This window comes from Homo sapiens, chromosome 10 (genome assembly GCF_000001405.40).
Source record: "Homo sapiens chromosome 10, GRCh38.p14 Primary Assembly".
In the NCBI taxonomy this organism is placed as follows: Eukaryota; Metazoa; Chordata; class Mammalia; order Primates; family Hominidae; genus Homo; species Homo sapiens.
The window spans coordinates 114,332,575-114,352,673 of NC_000010.11; the positions used below are offsets into that span (position 1 = coordinate 114,332,575).

The following is a 20,099-nucleotide window of genomic DNA, read 5'->3' on the forward strand; positions in this document are numbered from 1 at the left end:
AGTCACAGGCTTGGAAGTTAGGAATTGGAGCTTCTTAGCCTGCGTCTTCTGCAACTAGGCAGCTCTGCATACCTCTGGGCCTCCCCGGGGTCTTGCCAGGCCCCTCCCTGGAGGTTTTAAGGGAAAAGCAGAGAGCAGAACAGAGCAGAAGAGTGAGGCACCATGGAAGAAAACATATGTCCTTCCCATGGGAGACTAAACGTTCCGCCAAAGTCAGCACCTTTGAACATCATCTTTGACTATTAAGGCAGTTGCTGACACCACCATTTACTTCTCTCTCCTCTTCCTCAAAACAGACTTCTATCAAAAGACATAAAGGCAGAACCGTGGGATCAGCACCACACACAGCTGCTTTCTTCGAACATCTGAATTATGACTTCCTGTTCCTGGGATGATGCTGGGAACAGCCAAAAAGTTTTAGAGCCAGATTCCTTATCCAATGGGCAAGGAAGGGGTGGCCTGTTGAAACATCCTGAAATACATCAACCCAAAATACGACCAACAAAAATGTGGCTTCCAAAAATAACTCCGCCAGGCGGGTCTGTGTGCCGGCTGGGAGGAAAGAGAGGTGGGACAGAACCAGCTTGGACCTTCCCCCATCCCAGGAGTGGCCATCATACCAGCGTCAGTGATCCCAGCCTCATACCTTTGCCTTGAGACTCTGCATTCTGTTGCTTGTTGATGGTCACTTTGTTCATATAAATGTACTCCTCATCAGAGCCTGCAGAAGGAAGGAGACACAGGCTTTGTGTGACTTCCTGAAGAGAAAGGGCCTCCAGCTAGAAACCCTGTTACTCCAGAGCTGTTTTCATCTGCCTAGGTTCCAGTAAAAGCACACAGCATTTTCAGTGGATTGAAAGAATAGTCCAACATGCAAAGAGCTGACAGATTTCCAAAAGAGAAATGGCAAGTTGCTGACTGCTAGTTTTCTAGCCTGACCGAGGGTGTGGGGGCAGGTAAGATACAGAAGGATAGCTTATGGTATAAAAATCCTGCACTTTGGGAGGCCGAGGCAGGCGGATCACTTGAGGTCAGGAGTTGGAGACCAGCCTGGCCAACATGGTGAAACCCTGTCTCTACTAAAAATACAAAAGTTAGCCAGGCATGGTAGCTATAATCCTAGCTACTCAGGAGACTGAAGCAGGAGAATCACTTGAACCTGGGAGACAGAGTTTGCAGTGAGCTGAGATCGCACCACTGCACTCCAGCCTGGGCAACAGAGTGCGACTCCATCTTAAAAAGAAAAAAAGAAAAGAAAAAAGAAATCCTAAGTTCAAGATCTGCCTTGTATTCCACCAAGTAGAGATGTCTCTGGGCTTCCTAGCATTTCATTTAAATTGTAAAATATTTCCTGTCATTCTCACCCTAGTCTGAATTACTTGAATGGGCTGATCCAGTGTGTATAGATAACCCAGGTCACACTGAAGACCTGGAAGTTTAGTTCGCAGGCCTCTAGGTAGGGGGCCATTGGATGGGTGAACGGGGACCTGAATAGCCAAATCATGTGATTTCTGAATTTAAAGGGGTATCCTGAGAATAAGAACTGAGGAACCACCAGCCACCTGCTCTACCCTATAGATTATACCCTGCAGTGGCACAATCCATGCCTCCTTTAAAACCACTTCTGTGCAGGTTAAGTCACCTTTCCCATGCCTGCCTGGGCAGAGAAAAGCTGGCCTCCTAACTCTTGCTCCATTTCCAATCCCCCAAGGACCCTTTCTTCAGAAGTCTTCAGAGGAAGCTCATTCTAGTGTTTCTCTTCATCAAAATCCTCTTGAATTTCTTCTGCAGCCTTAATTTGCATTTCCTAGAAACTTGTGGCTGATAAATTCCAGTGGTTAGAGACCGCGTTACTGAGCCAAAGGACCCAGTTCTAACCTCTGGCGAAGGAAGCAGTTCAGTGTCACTCTGTTGCACGACCACAGACCGCCCAAACTCCAGCCAACAGGCCTGCAAAAGCAGGGACCCGAGAGCCAAGAGGAACAGGAGGGGGCTGGATACAGCCTCAGTGATGAGCACCTCTGGTTGTCATCTTAGTGCCTTGCCCTGCCAGGACCAGTCAGCAATGTTACCCCTGTGCCAGGGACTGCAGCAGTTTATGCAGTTGATGCATAGTGGGAGCTATGAGGTACAAATGGAGTGAACCGGAACTCACAGATTCCCACCCACTGAGACTCAGAGGGGGCTGGGTCAGTCCCTTCTCCAGCACATGGCAGAGGGGAAAAGTGCCCTGCAGGGAGAGGCAGGAGACGGGGTCTCAACCAAAGCTTTGCCGTAACGGCATCATTCTGGGCAAAGCACCTAACCCTTGTGCCTCCGTTTTCTTGTCTGCATGACAAAATACTGCCTGTTTCAACCAAACTCTTCAGTTCTCAAGAGTACAAAACTCAGATACTAGGGGGTTTGGAAAGGTAAGGTAACCTTACAACTAAGATGAAAAATGACAGCTTAAAACATGGGACATGACTCAAAGGCTCAACAATAGGAAAATGGTAACAAACCATGGCACATCAACATATATAACAGCAAGTCACCTTTAAAAACTAAATGGGTTACTGAAGAGGGTATAAATTGGCATGGCCATTTTAGAGATGATTTTGGAGGATACATTTTTGTGTTCATATTCTTTGACCCAGCATTTCTACTGCCAGAAACTTATCCTACAGATAAACTCTAGCATTTAAAGAAAATTGTATTTGAGGACATTCACTACAATACTGCATGATTTTTTTTTTTAAAAAAAGAATACAACATATGGCCGGGCACGGTGGCTCACATCTGTAATCCCAGCACTTTGGGAGGCCAAGGTGGGCGGATCACGAGGTCAGGAGATCGAGACCATCCTGGCTAACATGGTGAAACCCCATCTCTACTAAAAAATACAAAAAATTAGCCAGGTGTAGTGGTGGGCGCCTGTAGTCCCAGCTACTCAGGAGGCTGAGGCAGGAGAATGGCATGAACCCAGGAGGCAGAGCTTGCAGTGAGCTGAGATAGTGCCACTGCACTCCAGCCTGGTCAACAGAGCAAGACTCCGTCTCAAAAAAAAAAAAAAAATTCAACTTAAATGTCTACCAATAGGTTAAACATTAGGATTCATCCAGCATTGAACTCTACCCAATCGTGAAAACTAGCAAGGTAGCTCTGTGTCTGTTTACAAAGATACCCAAGACCTAGAGTTTAATTATAAGATCATGTTTCAGAATAGCAAAAAAAGAAACAGTATATGAATCGTCAACACATGGAAATGTGTGCATGCAGCAATTCTAAATATAAAAATAACGTAAAGCAGAAACAGAGGCAAACCACAGCTACTCCAAAATATTCAGATAATGCTGATAAGGATCAGAAAAGGAACTGGAAGAACATAAATAGTGTTCAGTGTTCATTTTTTTTTATATCATTAACTAAGTTCACATACCTATACAAAAAATAAAAGCCAAGATGTTATTGTTTTAAATGTTGGATTCTGAGCAGGTGTTTTCTCTCTAAGATGATGATTTGTAAGTTGCAGAGAAAACTCACACTGGCCACTTCATGAGGGTGCATCGGCCCACCTCGGGTGGGCTGCAGGCTGAGGCTGACTTGGTTTTGATTCTCAGAGGGTTGTTAATCTAGGACTCTCCAGGTTGGTAAGTAAGAAGTTCCCAAGACCTTCTGCAATTGTGGGAAAAATACAGTAAACCTGGCCCTAGACTGGGAGGCCACGGACAGGCAGGCCAGACTGCTCAGTCCTGTCTGGGAGGCGGCAGCCTTGGGCTAGAGAACTTTCTATCATTCACTCAACTATCTGACGAAGTGCATTCAGCATCAGCACTGTGCTAAGTGTTGGGGATACAGCAGAAAACAGATGTTACCTCTGCCTTTGTGAACCCCACAGTCCGGCAGGAGAGACATACCTGAATCTGATCGTTACACAGTGGGTGGGAAATGACTACGGCCTGAAGGTGTTGGGAAGATGAGCTCAAAGTGCTTAGAGGTCTGCAGAGGGTGGTCCTTCCCAGAGAACTGGCATAGGGTGGGGAGGAGGAACATGAACCTCTTTGCTACCACTGGATACAGAACATTTGAAGTGCTTTTGATCAGAGGGGCAGCCACTGAAATGTCCCTGGAGCCTCTGAGGGTGGGGGTGGGAGTGTGAGGCAGGAGTGGGGGCTGGTGTGGTGGGGACACAGCTGTCACTGGTGAAGGCTAGAATAGACAACAGGGAGCCAAGCCCTCAATAAACAGATCTTAGTCTATGCCTGGACCTCTCCATCCAGACAAAAAGCAAAGAGGGTAGAAAAATTTGTGTTACACTGAGAAAAAAAGAAACAAAGATCAGAAAACTCAAAGAGGCAATTCCCTTTGTGAAGTGTAAATGCACACATACACATCCTGCCCAAAATGTGTGGAAGTCCCAGAAGCTCAGCCTGTTGGACCACGGCTATCTTGAGATGATCACCTCGCCTCCACCTACAAGTCTCAACAGGCTGAGCTAAGTTTTGGGTAGAGGTGGGCCTGGGAGGCCGAGGGAAAGAATGCTGTAATTTCAGGTGCGGTATGTGTGTTTACGATTCTGTCCTGTGCGACACGACAGTTAACTGCAGTGCAATGGAGCAGGGGGAGATAAGGTTAGGTCCACCTGTCCAGGCCCAAGCCCTGGCTCTGCCCTCAGAGCCGTGTGCCCTCAGGCAAGTGACTTTCAGAGGCTTGGTTTCCTTGTTGGTAAAAAGGGAATACACTTTGGGATAAAGGATGAATGATGTCATCCATGTCATTTACTGCATTAAGTACAGGGACACAGAAAGTACACAATAAATGTTGGCTGCTATTGTACCTACTCTGCAGTCTAAGGGGTACAAAGAGGACCAGGAGGGAAGTTCCGTTAAACAGTGGCTATTAACAAGTGGGCTTCGCTTCTGAGAATGCAGGCCCCAGGCCTCAGTGTGGCTGTGCATGGGTGGCACTCTGGAGGTGATTCACCTTGGGGAACCCATGACCAGTTCTCAGCAGCTTCCCACCCCCTACGAGCTGCAGAGTCCACGGAGAGGGGAAGGCCTGACTTTATAAGAGCCGATCAAGGGCAGAACAAAAAGGTCATCCTACAGGAAGCCACATCATAGGTTAATTCAAAAAAGAGACCACATGTAGGAGGCGCTGCCAGAGTGGTTAGCACCAAGATCCACGGGTCAGACTTATCACAAACAGGTGGTTTCCAGTTCCCAACAGAGGTGTTTCTTATCATTGAACATTCAAGGTGGAACATATCGGAAGTGGTGTGGGGAGTGTACTTTTTAGAGGATTCCACTGATGAATCCTTCATGGAGTGAATCATCCCCCTCCAACCTTCCCGCTTTGTAATGTAGATTTCCCATCTGTGTTCCCACGATGGGCTGCTTTGATGTGCTGTTGACCAGCACTCCCGGCGGCAGGCGGGCGGACGCTCCCTACAAAGCCTTCAGGAGCATGGGAAGCTGCAAAGTCTGAAAGAAAACACCTCTGATGAGAGGCTAAGGCAGATGATTCCTCCAGAAGAGAAGACAGATGGGCATATAGCGACATGCCTCGGCTTTACGACTGCTTATTCAGAGAATAGAAACTAGTTCCACAGGGAACAGGGAAGGGGAAAGTCCTTGAAATGTAGCCTGGCAGATTCAGGTTGGACACAAAGAAGCATTTCTGGACTGTGATGGCCAGGGCAGGTGGAGACTTCCCTTCCCTGGCAGGACTTGGCCTGTTCCCGCTGGGAGGCAGATGGATTAGATGCCCTTGCACGGTCCCTGACCGTCCCCAAACAGCATTTCCAGTTCTCAAACATCTGACATAAAAATCAACTCAACTGTTATGACTTCACAAAAAGGGTTTTCCTTTTTTAAAAGAATCTGAATTTGCCAGAAATAAAACCATATGTCCACAAGACGACTTTTTCAAGAATGTTCCTAGCCGCCTCCTTCGTAATAGTTCAAATCTGTGAACAACTCAAATGGCCATCAGTAAGTGAAAGGATAAACAGATTGTGATGTATTCACAGAATGGAATACTACTCAGCAATAAAAGGAACAAACTACAGACACACTCAACAGCATGGATGAATCTCCAGAGAAGCCAGACATACAGTACACATCGTATGAATCCATTTATACAGAGCTCCAGCACAGGCAATATCAACCAGCACAATGGTTGCTTGTGTTGGGCGGCTGGGAATGGCCAAGACAGAACTTTCTGGAGGATGGAAATGTTCTATATCTTGTTTTGGGTGATCAGGACGCAAGGGTATACAATTATCAAAACTCACTGAATTATTTCACATATGTGCACTTTATACGTAAATGATCTCAATTTTAAAAAGACAGAAAAATCATGGACTCGGGGTTCTGTAATTTACAAAGTCTTCCAACTATGTTTTCCCTTGGGTTGTATAATATTGGGCAGGTTAAACTCTCCAGGTCTCAGTTTCCCCCTCTATAACAACAGCACCAGCCTCACAGGGATGTCTTAAAGATGAAATGGGTTATTACATATGCTCATGGGAATGCTCATTAAGCCCTAGCTATTATTATAATTTATTATTCCATCTCTACTTTCAACCAGCATGGAAGAGTGCTTTGAAAATACTTCACTTAGGCCGGGCGCGGTGGCTCACGCCTGTAATCCCAGCACTTTGGGAGGCCGAGGCGGGCGGATCACGAGGTCAGGAGATCAAGACCACGGTGAAACCCCGTCTCTACTAAAAAATATAAAAAATTAGCCGGGCGCAGTGGCGGGCGCCTGTAGTCCCAGCTACTCGGGAGGCTGAGGCAGGAGAATGGCGTGAACCCGGAAGGCGGAGCTTACAGTGAGCGGAGATCGCGCCACAACACTCCCGCCTAGGCGACAGAACGAGACTCCGTCTCAAAAAAAAAAGAAAATACTTCATTTAAAACCTTACTCGTGGGCTGCTGTGTCAAGTGACCAGAGATTTCTGGGGCTCGGGCCCAACTCGGGTCAGTCCCGCACCATTGTTATGGGGTGAAGTGTGTCCCCTGAAAATTCATATATTAAATCCTAGCACCCAGTATACCTTGGAATATGATTGCATTTGGAGATAGGGTCTTCAAAGAGGTAACTAAGTTAAAATAAGATAATTAGGGTGACCCTAATCGACTATGACTGATATCCTTATAAAGAGAGGAGATTAAGGCCAGGCATGGTGGCTTACGCCTGTAATCCCAGCACTTTGAGAGGCTGAGGTGGATGGATCACCTGAGGTCAGGAGTTTGAGACCAGCCTGGCCAACATAGTGAAACCCTGTCTACTAAAAATACACAATTAGCTGGGCATGGTGGTGGGCGCCTGTAATCCCAGCTACTCCGGAAGCTGAGGCAGGAGAATCGCTTGAACCTGGGAGGTGGAGGTTGCAGTGGACTGAGATCATGCCACTGCACTCCAGCCTGGGCAACAGAGCAAGACCCCGTCTCAAAAAAAAAAAAAAAGAGAGAGAGAGATTGGAGATTAGGGTCAGGCATGGTGGCTCACGCCTGTAATCCCAGCACTTTGAGGGGCCCAGGCAGGGCGGATAGCTTGAGCCCAGGAGCTCAAGACCAGCCTGGGCAACATGGTGAAATCCCATCTCTACAAAAAAAAAATACAAAAAAAAAAAAAATAGCTGGGCATGGTGGCATGTACCTGTAGACCCAGCTACTTGGGAGCCCAGGAGGTTGAGGCTACAGTGAACCATGATCGCGCCACTGCACTCCAGACTGGGTGACAGAGTGAGCCCCTGCTTCAAAAAAGTTAATTAAAAGAAGAGGTGACTGGGACACAGACACAGAGAAAAACCCATGTGAGGACACAGGGAGAAGACAGCCATCAGCCCGCCAGGGAGAGAGGCCTCAGAAGGGACCAAACCTATTGATACCTTGATGTTAGACTTCTGGCCTCCAGAAGTGTGAGAAAATAAGTGTCATTTATAGCACCCAGCCTGTGATCCTTAGCTATGGCAGCCCGCACTGACTCACAACCATCTCTTTTGGCGTGGAGGCCTCTGCACCACCCAGGGCCCACACTCACTGCTGCTTTTGGTGTAAAGCCGGAGGAGCTCCGCCAGGCAGCTCTTCTTCACCAGTGCTGTGCTGCTCAGGTTCTCCTGGTCAAGAATCTTGAGGAAGTCATCCAACTCTGTCAGCAGCTGTTCCAGGGCTAGGGACAGGAAACAGAAGAAACTTATAGTGGCTGCCCGCTCTCCAAAGCCCAGCTCAGATACACCTCGGGACCCTGCAGCCTCCCACCTCGAACCCTCTGGTCCCAAGAGGAAGGGTTTGGTGTGAGGTCTGGCAGCGTATGGGGGGACTGGGCAGAAGATGGGATTCTCAGCTCCAGGGCCACAGGGAGAGAGAAACAGGCCCTTGGCTTGGAGATGAACAGCCTCCGCTGAAGTCCCAGCCCTACCAGGTGCTGGAAGAGTGACAACGGCCTCGTCGGCCAACTTTCTATCTCCTCCACTGCAAACGCCTGCCCTCACAGGGCTCTTGTGAAAACTAAGAGAGCACTACTTCCAAAATGCTTTGAGAGCTGTTGAGCTCTGCTCTTAGAGCTGTGGCTAGAATGAGGGTTACTCTCATCTTGATCCTCTCCGGGTGGCTTTGGGCCCATTTACTTCTTAAGTCTATTAGGTCAAATGCTTTGTAAAGTTCCTTCCAGTTCTGAAGCTCTATGGTTGTAAGCCTCGCCTTGGCTTGACTGCACGGCTTTAAAGTACGAATCTGTTCACAGGTTGTCCATGATTAAAAGCCACACCTGGGCCGAGCACAGTGGCTCACACCTGTAATCCCAGCACTTTGGGAGGCTGAGGCGGGTGGATCACAAGGTCAGGAGATTGAGACCATCCTGACCAACAGGGTGAAACCCCCGTCTCTACTAAAAATACAAAAATTAGCTGGGCATGGTGGCGTGCACCTGTGTTCCCAGCTACTTGGGAGGCTGAGGCAGGAGAATCGCTTGAACCCGGGAGGCGGAGGTTGCAGTGAGCTGAGATCACACCACTTCACTCCAGCCTGGTGACAGAGCAAGACTCCATCTCAAAAAAAAAAAAGAAAAGAAAAGAAAAGAAAAAGGCCACACCTGGTTCCTCAGAAGCCCTACCTGGCCTCCAAAGCCCTGCAGACTGAAGCAGCCTCCCCCGTGGTCACTGTCATACTCCACAGCCCGGACACAGCACCCCTCTTTCCTTCTCTGGTCTTCACACATCATGGTCTTCTCCCCCTCTGCTAAATCACAATTGTCCCTGTGTTACCAGTGGTAGTTATCCGTATAGATCTGCAGCTACCTCAATTCTTGCCTCCTCAGAAGAAAGAATTTGAGAGGCATAAGGCAGAAGGGGAAACTGAGACAAGTCTCAGAGCAGAAGTGAAAGTTTATTAGAAAGCTTTAGAACAGTAAGGAAAGGAAAAGAAGCAAAGTCCAACTTGGAAGACGGCTACGTGGGTGACCTGAGAAAACAAGTGTGAGGCTTGACCGCTAGACTTGGGGTTTTCTACGCTGGCATACTTCTGAGATTTGCCTTACTTCTCCCACTCCTGAGATCTTATTGGGAAGCTGCTGATTGCTTTCAGGTGTTTTCTATGAGGAGACTGCCTTTCTCTGGCACTAGCTGTGACCAATCATTCCTTTAGAGAAACAGTTAACAACTGCCTGACCATCACCTGGTGGTCATCCAACACTCCTAGTGTGTGGGGTGAGGTGGGGAGCCCTCTCCTCCCTGCTCATACCTAACTAGCTATCCGCTGTAACACCTCAGGTCTTGGTCTAGATAACATTCCTCCTGAGACACCTTCTCTGGGCCTCTTTAACAGATCCATGTTACCAGCACTGGCCTCTGTGGTGGGCTAAATATTGGGCCCCTAATGATATCCATGACCTAACCCCTCAAATCTGTGAATATGCTACTTGACGTGGCAAAGGGACTTCACAGATGTGATTTAATGAGGAGATTATCCTGGTTTGTGCAGGTGAGCACAGTGTAATCACAGTGGCTCTTATAAGCGGGGAGGTAGGAGGGTAAGAGTCAGGGAGATAAGATGCTACCATGTTGGCTTTGGGGATGGAGGAAGGGACCATGAGCCGAGGAACACAGGTGGCTTCTGGAATCTGGAAAAGGTGAAGAAGTAGATTCTTTCCTAGAGCCTCCAGGAGCCCTGTGGCCCCCTCTCAGATTCTGATCTCCAGAACTGTAGATTAACGAGTTCGTGTTGCTTTATGTCACTAAGTTTGGTAATTTGTTACCACAGCAATAAGAAACTGAGACATCCTCTCACAGCTCTGACTGCATCACAGCGTAGCTGTCTGTGTCGCCATTTAGCTGCAAGCTCCAAGGACAGGCTTTGTGTGGAGCTCACATTTCCAGGGCCCAGCACAATATCCAATAAATATTTGTTGACTAAATGAGTAAATGAAAGCAAAGCAAATCTATCCACTTACTTTGTACATGAAAGAATCCCATGGCTGAATTATAAGAAAAATAAATTAGTGGCCTGGATTAAGAGTAAAGAGAAGTCCACTAAAAATCCAGGTATCTGGCAGGTCCTATCTAGCCAAAATACTGGAACAGATGGGATTTTAAAAAGCATCTCCTCTACTTATCTAGCTTACATAATACACTCACAACACTGAGAACCCAAACAATTCTTCCCCCAAATGGCCTCCATGAAACCAACTCCTAGGGTTTACTGCATGAATGAGCTGTTCTGAAACCTGGACCCCAGCAACTTGCCCACCATCCAGAACCCTTGGCACCTCCTGCTTTCCTCGTGATCACTCTGCTCCAGACCAGCATGAGCTCCCCGTCTGCATGGGCAGCCTTTCATTTGTGTCACTCTAGAGGCAAGTCAGTGGCTCAGGAGAAACAGGCACTTTGTGGGAAGCCTGCACTCATTTGCTCACCTCACCCCTGCTCCTTTGTCTCCCTGGCATTGCTGGTCAGCCCCACCATGACACTGAGCAGATTTACAAATAACCAGCAAGGAGGGAGGGAGGGAGGCTGGCACTGGGCTCACCAGAGTGCAGGGCAGAGACTAAGCTCTTCCAGGTAGTTAAGTGTTTGCACAAAGAGCATGGGTCACAGGAGCTTCTCAGCAGACAGAGAAGCATCGGCGGGATCAGTTACTATGGGCATCACTAGAGGTTGCACCTGGCAAAAGTTGCCCTGTTGCCCTTGACCTTAACCAGTAGGGCCTCCCACCATCTGACCCAGGGGAGCTTCTCTGCTGGAGCTGGAGGCCCCAGCCCCATGCCCTGCTGTGACCAGACTTGCTCACCAAGGGCCAAGAGCCGCACTGCCAGCATCACCACACCCTCATCCAAGGCAATGGTGCTGCTGGGCCTGGATGACTGAGCCGAACCAGAGAAGAACGGGAGACAACACCAAGGCAGAGAAACTGAATTAAACAAGGAAATGAAAGGAGCGTGATGATGGCAAAATTCCAACTCTTGCCTGAGATAAAGTGAGGAGGGACCATAATCTAGCCTTATAAATGAGAGCCCTGATGGTCTGCAAACAAACATTTCCTACTGTGAAGTCCACGAGCATTGACTCAGCATCTGCTAGGCTGGCCCACAGAAGCATTTAAAAGAAAGAATAAAGCATGTTCTCCCAACTAAAAGGCCTTAGCTTGTGTTGTGTTTTGTTACTAACAGCTATTCATGAGTTTCCTGTCGGCCCCAGGAACTCAAAAGCAGTGAGCTTAAAGAAGCCAAACCAGGGAAAATAAATGGAGGACAACGACAGTGAGCCTTGAACTCAACTTCAGGGGACAAGGGAAAGTGAAAGGGCCTTGCAAGGCAATCGGGGTCTCAAGCTGCATTTTTCCTGACTTCTGAACTTCTCAAGGCTGTCCCTCTGCTGCCACTTCAAAAAAAAACCCATAAAAACTGTAAGTATCTTTTCACTTCCGCATCCTTGGCTATTCCCAAAAGCTGCCCAATTCCTGGAAAATAGCCTTTGTTTCTATTTCACGTGAGCCAATATGTACCAAGCCAAAGGGTGGAAAGTGCTGGGCCTGGCCCTGGGGAAACAAAGGTGACCCCAAGGGGTCCTCAGCCCTTCCAGAGGCCTAGTGAACCCAGGGTGAGAAGAGAACTAATCAAGGGATGTCTCCAAGGACCAGCAATGCAATAAGGAAAGTAAGGCAAACTCTGAGTTTATCAGGAAAAGGAATTGTAGCTCGTCCTTGAGGAATGCATAGGAGCTCACTGGAAAGGGGCAGAGGCATTTTAAGAAGAAGGGATGGCTGGGCACAGTGGCTCACGTTTGTAATCCCAGCACTTTGGGAGGCCAAGGTGGGCGGATCACCTGAGATCAGGAGTTCGAGACCAGCCTGGCCAACCTGGCAAAACCCTGTCTCTACTAAAAATACAAAAACTAGCCAGGGGTGGTGGCGTGCACCTGTAATCCCAGCTACCCGGGGGGCTGAGGCAGGAGAATCGCTTGAACCTGAGAGACGGAGGTTGCAGTGAGCCGAGATCACACCACTGCCCTCCAGCCTGGGCAACACAGCAAGACTCCATCTCAAAAAAAAAAAAAAAGGAAAGAAAGAAAAAGGGATGAGATGCTCAGAAAACTTGAGCCCTGAAAGTACATGTGTTTGGGAAACCACCCAGTGGCTCTGTGTATCGGGGGAACATGGAGCATCGAGGTGGGTGGGGGTGGGCCTCAAAGGGGAGAAGGTGGGCTCTAAGGCCAGAACTGTGGATTGGGGGTGATGCAGATGAAGAGGGCTTTATTATTCTGCTCAGAAGTTGGTGCCTTATTCTGCAGGGTCATGCAAGGCTGTTCTTTAAGCAGACTAGAGAGAATAATCCTGAAGCTGTGGGTCCTCAAGAGGATGGATGGAAGGGGACTGGCAGTGGAGGCAGGGAGGCCAGTTAGATAAACTCATTAGTGCATATGGAATGATGAGGGTGTGAGCTAATCATGGCAGCTGGGCACCATGCCATCAGCTGTGCCCCTACCACCTCAATTCTCACAACCACCCTGCAAGTGCACAGCTGTGGGAATGGGCTAAGGAGGCTGAATTACAACCCAATTTGGCCACATCCCTGATGAGTAGCGGCACGGGGGATCAAATCCAAGCATATCCAAGTTCAAAGCACTTGTGTCTGCCATCCATCCGTTGGCTGTAGTCATTCCCAGGGAGCCAGGAAAGTGCATCTGAGTCATGGCCCCTGCCCATCAGTCCTTCATACTCCACAAGGCAAAGGGTGTGGGGATGAAGAGAAAGAGTGGACTGGAGACATGAGACAGGGAGAGCCCACAGGACCTGCCGATGTGGGCACTGGGTGGTGGAGATGCGGAAAGCCATCAGACACCGTGGTGAACCAGGCAGCCGTGGTGCCTGCCCGATGTAGGCACTGGGTGGTGGAGACGTGGAAAGCCATCAGACACCGTGGTGAACCAGGCAGCCATGGCACCTGCCCATCGGGGAGCGGGTGGGCCAGCCAGATGTGTGGGGAAGAGCAGCTCTTGGGTGCTGTCTGCTGAGGACAATGTCGAGACCCTCCTTCTCTTCTAGGCTGTGGCAGGTGAAGGGGAAGCCCCAGGGTTGAAGGAGCGCAGGCCTGGGGATGAGAGAGAGTCAAAAGGGAAGGATGTTCCTTCCCTTCCTCTCTGGATCCATATCATTGTTCCAGGTCCAGCCAGGCCCCTTCTCCAGAAAGCCACTGTGACCAGCGGCACTCAGCTCTCTTGCTGGCGTCTGCCTCCCTAGGTTGTGGACTGTCAAAACCAGTTGCGCATAGTCGTCTGGGTGTGTGTCTATCTCCAGGGCAGAAGCTCTTTCCGGTCAAGGGTCAAGATTTATAGATTTGGGTGTCCGACAAGGTGCTAAGCACACAGGAGGCCATAGGCGATTCTCCTCCAGACACACCCTTTCGGGATCCAGCCACAGGCTTGGGGAAATAACAATCAACAAAGGCAAGGCCCCAGAGTGCCAACCTCAGTGACATTTATCAACCCCCAGGGCTGGGAGGGGTGGGCATCCCTTAGAGGAATGTGGCTATTGCCCTGAGGCCCTGGAACTCGCTCACCACATTTCCTTTCTCCCCCACCATCCCCCACACTTTCATTTCGGTCTCTTCCTCGTCCTCCTGTGGAGCGAGGGAGAAATAAATGTGTTGTTCATTCTGGAAACTGTAGGCCCTTGTGCAGGCTTTCCATCCCGGCTCTGTTAAAGTTCAGGGTTGTCTGCTTAGGGTCAATAAGTTTCTTGTTTGAGACTTCCAAGGCCCACGCAGGGCTGGGCGGTTCAACTGCTCGATTCATTGCCCTCCTCTGTGGTGAAGCTCTTCCTCCAGATGACCTCCTCCCCCAGCTTTTCTCATCTTGAGGCTGTCTTGCTTTTTGGTCACTAAGTTCCCAACCATAAACGTCTTCCCAACATGCCGAAAAAGCCACTCTTCACGGTTTCCCTGCTGTTCTATGCACACATTTTTATTTATTCAGCTGCATTTGCTGAAGACCTGAGATGGAGCATGATTTTCCTTCCCAATGTCAAACTGAGCAGACCTGCGCTTTATATAGAAAGACTGTATCCCTCTGCCCCAACAGTTCCCAAGATCAAGCCACTGAATGTATTATCCTCATGAGCCCAACTGCTGGGGAGCAGTCAGTGTTAGGAGCCTGTGACACTTTCTGTGAGAAGCAACAGCATCCTACAGATGCCAGGGAGGGTGGAAAATGTCGAAGATCTTCCTCCTGATCAGAGAGAGCTCTCAAGTTCTCAAGATGAGCTTCTGGAAAAATACACTCCTCACACCACCTAAGAAGGGTGACCTCAGAGCAAATGCCCCTTGTCTTCAAAAATGCAAAACACTGAGTCAGCCTTTAGCACGTATCTACTATACGTCTGGCCTGTTCATAGAAAGTGGGATTTTTTTCTTATTTTTATTTTACTTTACTTTCTTTTTTTTGAGACAAGATGTCACTCTGTCATCCAGGCTGGAGTGCAGTGGTACAATCATGACTCACTGCACCCTTGACCTCCCAGACTCAAGTGAGTCTCCTTGAGTAGCTGGGACTATAGGCATGTACCACTTGAGACTATATGGTCTCAAGTAGCTGGGACTATAGGCATGTACCACCACGCCCTGCTAATTTTTAAATTTTTTGTAGAGACAGAGTCGTGCTATGTAGCCCAGGCTGGTCTTGAGCTCCTGGCCTCAGGGGATCCTCCTGCCTTGGCCTCCCAAAGAGTGTGAGCCACCACACCCAGCCTTCTTTTTTTTTGTGATGGTAAAATACAGATAATATAAAATTTACTACTTTAACCATCTTAAAGTTTACAATTCAGTGGTGTTAAGATTCCCAATGTGTGCAACCATTACCACTATCTAGTTCCAGAACTTTTTTTATTACCTCAAAGGAGAACTCCTTAGGCAGTGACTTCCCTATTTCCCCCTAGGCTCAGATGCTGGCAACCGCAAATCTGCTTTCGGTCCAGTGGATTTGCCTATTCTGGGTATTGCATATACATTTTGCATCTGGCTTCTTTCCCTTAGCATTATGTTTTCAAGGTTCATCCATGTTGCAGTAGGTATGGCTACTTCCTTCCTTCTTAAGACTGAGTACAATTCCATTATATGGATATACTACATTCTACTTACCCATTCATTGTTGATAAGGCAATGGCTTTTTTAAACAAAAAACTTTTTTATTGGGATATAATTTAAATACAGTAAACGCTCCTGTTTTTACTGTGAAATTCTATTTGTTTTGAGAAACACCCTCAGCTGTGTTAGGCACAGAACCTTCCCACTACCCGAGAAAGTTTCTTTGTGCCTTTTATAGGCAGCCCTCTCCCTACTCCCACAGCATGGCAGCAGGAATAGCTTTCGGAGTCTGACTTCTTTTACTTAACATAAGGCATATGAGATTCATCCCGGTTGTAATGCATGAGAAGTTTGCTCCTTTTTCTTGCTACATAGCATTCCATCGTGTAGATGTAGGAAGAATCTTTATAGCCCCTCTGCTGGGCACTTCTGCACAGAACAGCAGTTCCTGCTTTCCCACACCAGATTGCCATGCTCTCAAAGGCACCTCACTGCTGACTTTACAGGACGTGCTCTACTTTAAGTTCACGCAATGTGTAGCCACTCAGAGGCATGCATACAAGAGGTAAAGCAGTGATTCTCAGCCCGGGCTGCACACTGGAATCACTGGGGAAACTTATAAGAATCCTGATGCCTGGGTGCACCCCCAGAATTCTGCTGTCATTCCTCTGGGTGTGACCTGGGGCAGCACTTTTCAATCTTCCCAGGTGAGTCTAATGCACAGCCAAGGTCAAGAACTGCCTAGCTAAAGTTGTGATGATTTGCTTTATGAAGTCTTTTTACCTAATAAAATTATGTGTAAAAAAATGCAAACTTTCAAAGTGCTCCTATATGATCCTTCTGATCTACATGTAGAACTTTCTAGGCTCATGCCTGTTATAGAAAGTCAGATATATTTCAAAATACATTTTCTCCTAAAGTCCTTTTCCTTCTGGACAGTAAGAGTGCAGAAGGCCAGGCTGGGGCTAGGTGCAGTGGCTCACACCTGTAACCCCAGCACTTTGGGAGGCCGAGGTGGATGGATCACTTGAGGTCAAGGGTTTGAGACCAGCCCGGCCAACATGGCAAAACCCCGCCTCTACTAAAAATACAAAAATAAGCTGGGCATGATGACACACACCTGTAATCCCAGCCACTCAGGAGGCTGAACCATAAGAATCACTTGAACCCAGGAGGCGGAGTTTGCAGTGAGCCGAGATCGCACCATTGCTCTCCACTCCAGCATGGGCAACAAGAGTGAAACTCGGTCTCAAAAAAAAAAAAAAAAAAAAGAAAAGAAAAGAGAAACAAAAAAGAAAAAAGAAGACTGAGCCAGGTGTGGTGGCATGCACCTGTAGTCCCAGCTACCCTGGAGGTGGGAGGATTGCTTGAGCCCAGGAGTTCAAATCCAGCCTGGGCAACATAATGAGAGCTTGTCGCTTGGAAAAAAAAAAAAAAAAAAGAACACAGTGTAGAAGGCAAGGGTCAAGATGTCTCAAGATATCTATATGTTTACATATCACTGTACTCAGTTTTTTGTCCTGCTTAAGCTCTTATCCCTGAAAATCAGCACCCAAAGCAGACTGTAGTCATTTCTGCCTGCTTGAAACCCAGTAAACTGAGCCAAATGTAAATAACTTTCTCCAGTGTAAATACTCAAGAAGTTTTTCTTTATCTCCATCTCCAAGAAATGGCGAGGGGGGCGGGGGGGTTTGCTTCACTTGCTAGCACTGTGAATGCTCTGCTCCCGCCAAGCCTGGCCTGCAAGGGTCATCTTGCCATCATTTTTGCAAGATCTGCTTTTTCTCACCTATCTTTGAGTCTCATCACTTAAAACACTTTCCCCAGGAACAGCCCACCCTCCACATTCCCAGATTAGCCGTTGAAACTGAGACAGGACAGATGCTGGGCTGTGGCTTGCACTACTGGAAAAACAACTTGAGTTGCTCACTGCCGACCTCTCCAGTGGAACAAAACTCCCCAAGAGCAGAATTCCAACCCCAGCTTAGGAGCCAGCTGGAATCAGAGCTTCTCAGACAGGGCCTTTGAAAATTCACACAGTCACAGCTGAAGACATGAAACCAAGCACAGAGAAGGAGAAAAGACCTCAGTCCTACCAAGGGCCACATCCACTCTGTCTGGAACTGCCCAGAAGCACTACCTGTCCATCCGGCCCAATAGCACACAGGGCTATTACTTGACGATTCAGCCGTCTTTATTGTTCTCTGTTGTCCCATGGATGCAAGTCCTTTGTCCCCAAATGAAATTGAAACTTCTGTGTGGGTAGGGACTATATCTTCTGGTTTGATTTCCTCCCCCTCTGTGCCTAGATAGTGCTTTGCTAAGGTCGGTGCTTGGAGAACATCTGCCGAACATAAGGCTTCTAAACAGATAGACAGACACATACTACCTGCCTTCACTAACGAAACCTCCTCCTATTTAAAGGTTCTGGGCTGGTCAGTCCAGTAGACCTGGGCAAAGGGCTCACAAGTCCCATCTGGGCCAGTTAACGTCTCTAAAACGAGCCACCAGAGGCAGCCCCTGGCAGCTGATGGGCTGGAAGGACAGGAGGCATCTCACTCTTGGATGGTGCTCTGATGGGAGAATTTTCTCAAGGGTACAGGTGGGAAGGGCATGGAGGTGGCTTGCTCCCCTAGGGATCAGAATCAGAGAGAACCCACGGTGAAAGAAACCCGACCCCTGAGGCACTCCAGCAGTTCAGAGGGCACGTGAGGGCAGACTCAAGACACTCCAGGTTCCAGCGGCGACCAGGGTCCAGGCCAGACAAAGAGGCTTTGGGTCCCGGGAGGCCTTTGTTCCTCAGCCCATTTAAGACATTCCTTAAATGCAATCTACCAGAAGAGTGGCTTCATTCAGAGCCAGCGGGGGCCAGTTATGCGGGTGGGAGGCACAAAGGTTTGCCTGGGTATCTCCCTGCGCGGCAAGTCCCACAACCAGCACAAACCACTTTAGCCTCAGAACAAGAGGCTGATGGGGGTCACTCGAGTTCACATTGGAAAGGCTGTGTTGGATAGGAAAAAAGAAGGCTGGAAAATGATAACAGCAATTATCTTTTGGTGGAGGGGCTATGGGAAATTTTCACTCCTTCTTTATAGCCTCCCCTGTTCCTCAACACAGAAGAGCATGGAGTTTTTACGCAGAGAAAAGAAGTTGTGCAGTGGCCGCTATGTTTTCATTTGGAGCCGTAAATCTAAGGTTGTCCCTGTTTACTTGATATTTGTATCAGAGAAAAAAGACATATTAAAGATGGATGGAAGGGGGAAAATCACCGTATGTCCAGATTTACTGTTTCCTTCCAGCATTTGGCAAAAGTAATGAGACAGCATTGGACAGGTGTGCTGGTCGGGACCTTTTCATCCTGTCCAGGCCCCTGCCTCCAAGCAGGTCAAAATCAGCCCCAGCAATCCAAAGTGACCACCACTCTGAGGTTGGAGTCAACCGGGGGGAGGCACGCGAGGCTGATTAGGTGCCCACTGGACCACCAGGCAAAAGCCCTTCCTTGGGGCTTCAAGGAACCTGGGCAGGAGAAACGAAGGCCTCCTGGGCCACCCCCCTGCCCCAAGCCTCTTTGGCCCCTGGTGGCTGCTGGAAACTGCAGTGCCTCTCACTTGAACTTATGCGCCCTCTGAACCGGAAGTGCCCTAAGAGTCAAGTTCCCCTTGCCCTGGGTTCTTGATCTTGCAAGAAGCAGCCACCTCCGCCCTTCCCACAGGTACCACACTCCAGATTCAAATTGCCTAAATATTAGTTCCACATCTTGGCTCACTCTTGGCTGCACCATATACTGGCTGTGTGGCCTTGGGGAGCTTAATGAGCCTCTCTATGCTTCAGTTTCCTGGTGTGTAAAATAGGGCTAATAATTGTACCTAGGGACTAATTCGTGGGATTAATGTGAAGATCACAAAATAACCTCCTAAAGTGCTTATACTACATTAAATGTTAGTTGCTAAATAAAACCCTCATTCCTCTTATAAGAGTGGTAGAAAAAACTCTCCATAGACTGTAAATACACACACACATTACAATTCTAGCAGACAGCTTCAAAAAAGCAGCTGTAGGCTGGGTGCAGTGGCTCACACCTGTAATCCCAGCACTTTGGGCGGCCAAGGAAGGCAGATCACCTGAGGTCAGGACTTTTGAGACCAGCCTGGCCAATATGGTGAAACCCCGTCTCTACTAAAAATACAAAAAATTAGCTGGGCATGGTGGTGCAAGCCTGTAGTCCCAGCTAGTCGGGAGGCTGAGGCAGGAGAATCGCTTGAGCCAGGGAGGCAGAGGTTGCAGTGATCCAAGATGGAGCCACTGCACTCCAGCCTGGGTAACAGAGCAAGACTCTGTCTCCAAATTAAAAAAAAAAAAAAAAAAAAGCAACCGGAGATGTCCTGTTTGATTTTACAGAACTACTAAATTATGTCCTGGTAGACAGCAACAGGGGCAGGTGAGGAGGAATTTGGGTTAAACCCTTGCAGGAAACCACCTTCATAGAAACATACAGTACTGAGAATGAACGAGTGAAGGTTTTCAAAGCTTTCTGTAGCTTA

At 48.3% G+C, this 20,099-nt stretch overlaps 1 protein-coding gene across 54 annotated transcripts in view, besides 4 other annotated features; it reads right to left on the bottom strand.

Moving 5' to 3' along the window:
* The window catches only part of AFAP1L2 (actin filament associated protein 1 like 2), a 124,451-nt gene that overhangs the window by 51,850 nt on the left and 52,502 nt on the right, over positions 1–20,099 (bottom strand). For 53 of the 54 annotated variants that reach the window (XM_047425858.1, XM_047425857.1, XM_047425856.1 and 50 more), the window contains 2 exons: positions 8,029–8,157; positions 647–721 (listed from right to left, as the gene is read on the bottom strand). In XM_047425858.1, the coding sequence (XP_047281814.1) occupies positions 647–721; positions 8,029–8,157 (204 nt within the window). The remainder of the gene's footprint in view (positions 1–646; positions 722–8,028; positions 8,158–20,099) is intronic. The other variant, XM_047425875.1, reaches the window with a different exon arrangement.
* Positions 4,678–5,877: an enhancer, noted in NCBI's record as "P300/CBP strongly-dependent group 1 enhancer chr10:116097011-116098210 (GRCh37/hg19 assembly coordinates)". NCBI's record gives its function as "activates an origin of replication core promoter dependent on BRD2, BRD4, P300/CBP, MED14 and CDK7 cofactors, with strong dependence on P300/CBP, by STARR-seq in HCT116 cells {active_cell/tissue: HCT116}" and the evidence as "EXISTENCE:reporter gene assay evidence [ECO:0000049][PMID:35650434]".
* Positions 4,678–6,153: a biological region, named in NCBI's record as "P300/CBP strongly-dependent group 1 enhancer GRCh37_chr10:116097011-116098210".
* Positions 5,250–6,153: an enhancer, noted in NCBI's record as "OCT4-NANOG-H3K27ac-H3K4me1 hESC enhancer chr10:116097583-116098486 (GRCh37/hg19 assembly coordinates)". NCBI's record gives its function as "activates a minimal SCP1, AML or CMV promoter by ChIP-STARR-seq in primed H9 embryonic stem cells {active_cell/tissue: H9 hESC(primed)}" and the evidence as "EXISTENCE:reporter gene assay evidence [ECO:0000049][PMID:30033119]".
* Positions 17,819–18,711: an enhancer, noted in NCBI's record as "H3K4me1 hESC enhancer chr10:116110152-116111044 (GRCh37/hg19 assembly coordinates)". NCBI's record gives its function as "activates a minimal SCP1, AML or CMV promoter by ChIP-STARR-seq in naive H9 embryonic stem cells {active_cell/tissue: H9 hESC(naive)}" and the evidence as "EXISTENCE:reporter gene assay evidence [ECO:0000049][PMID:30033119]".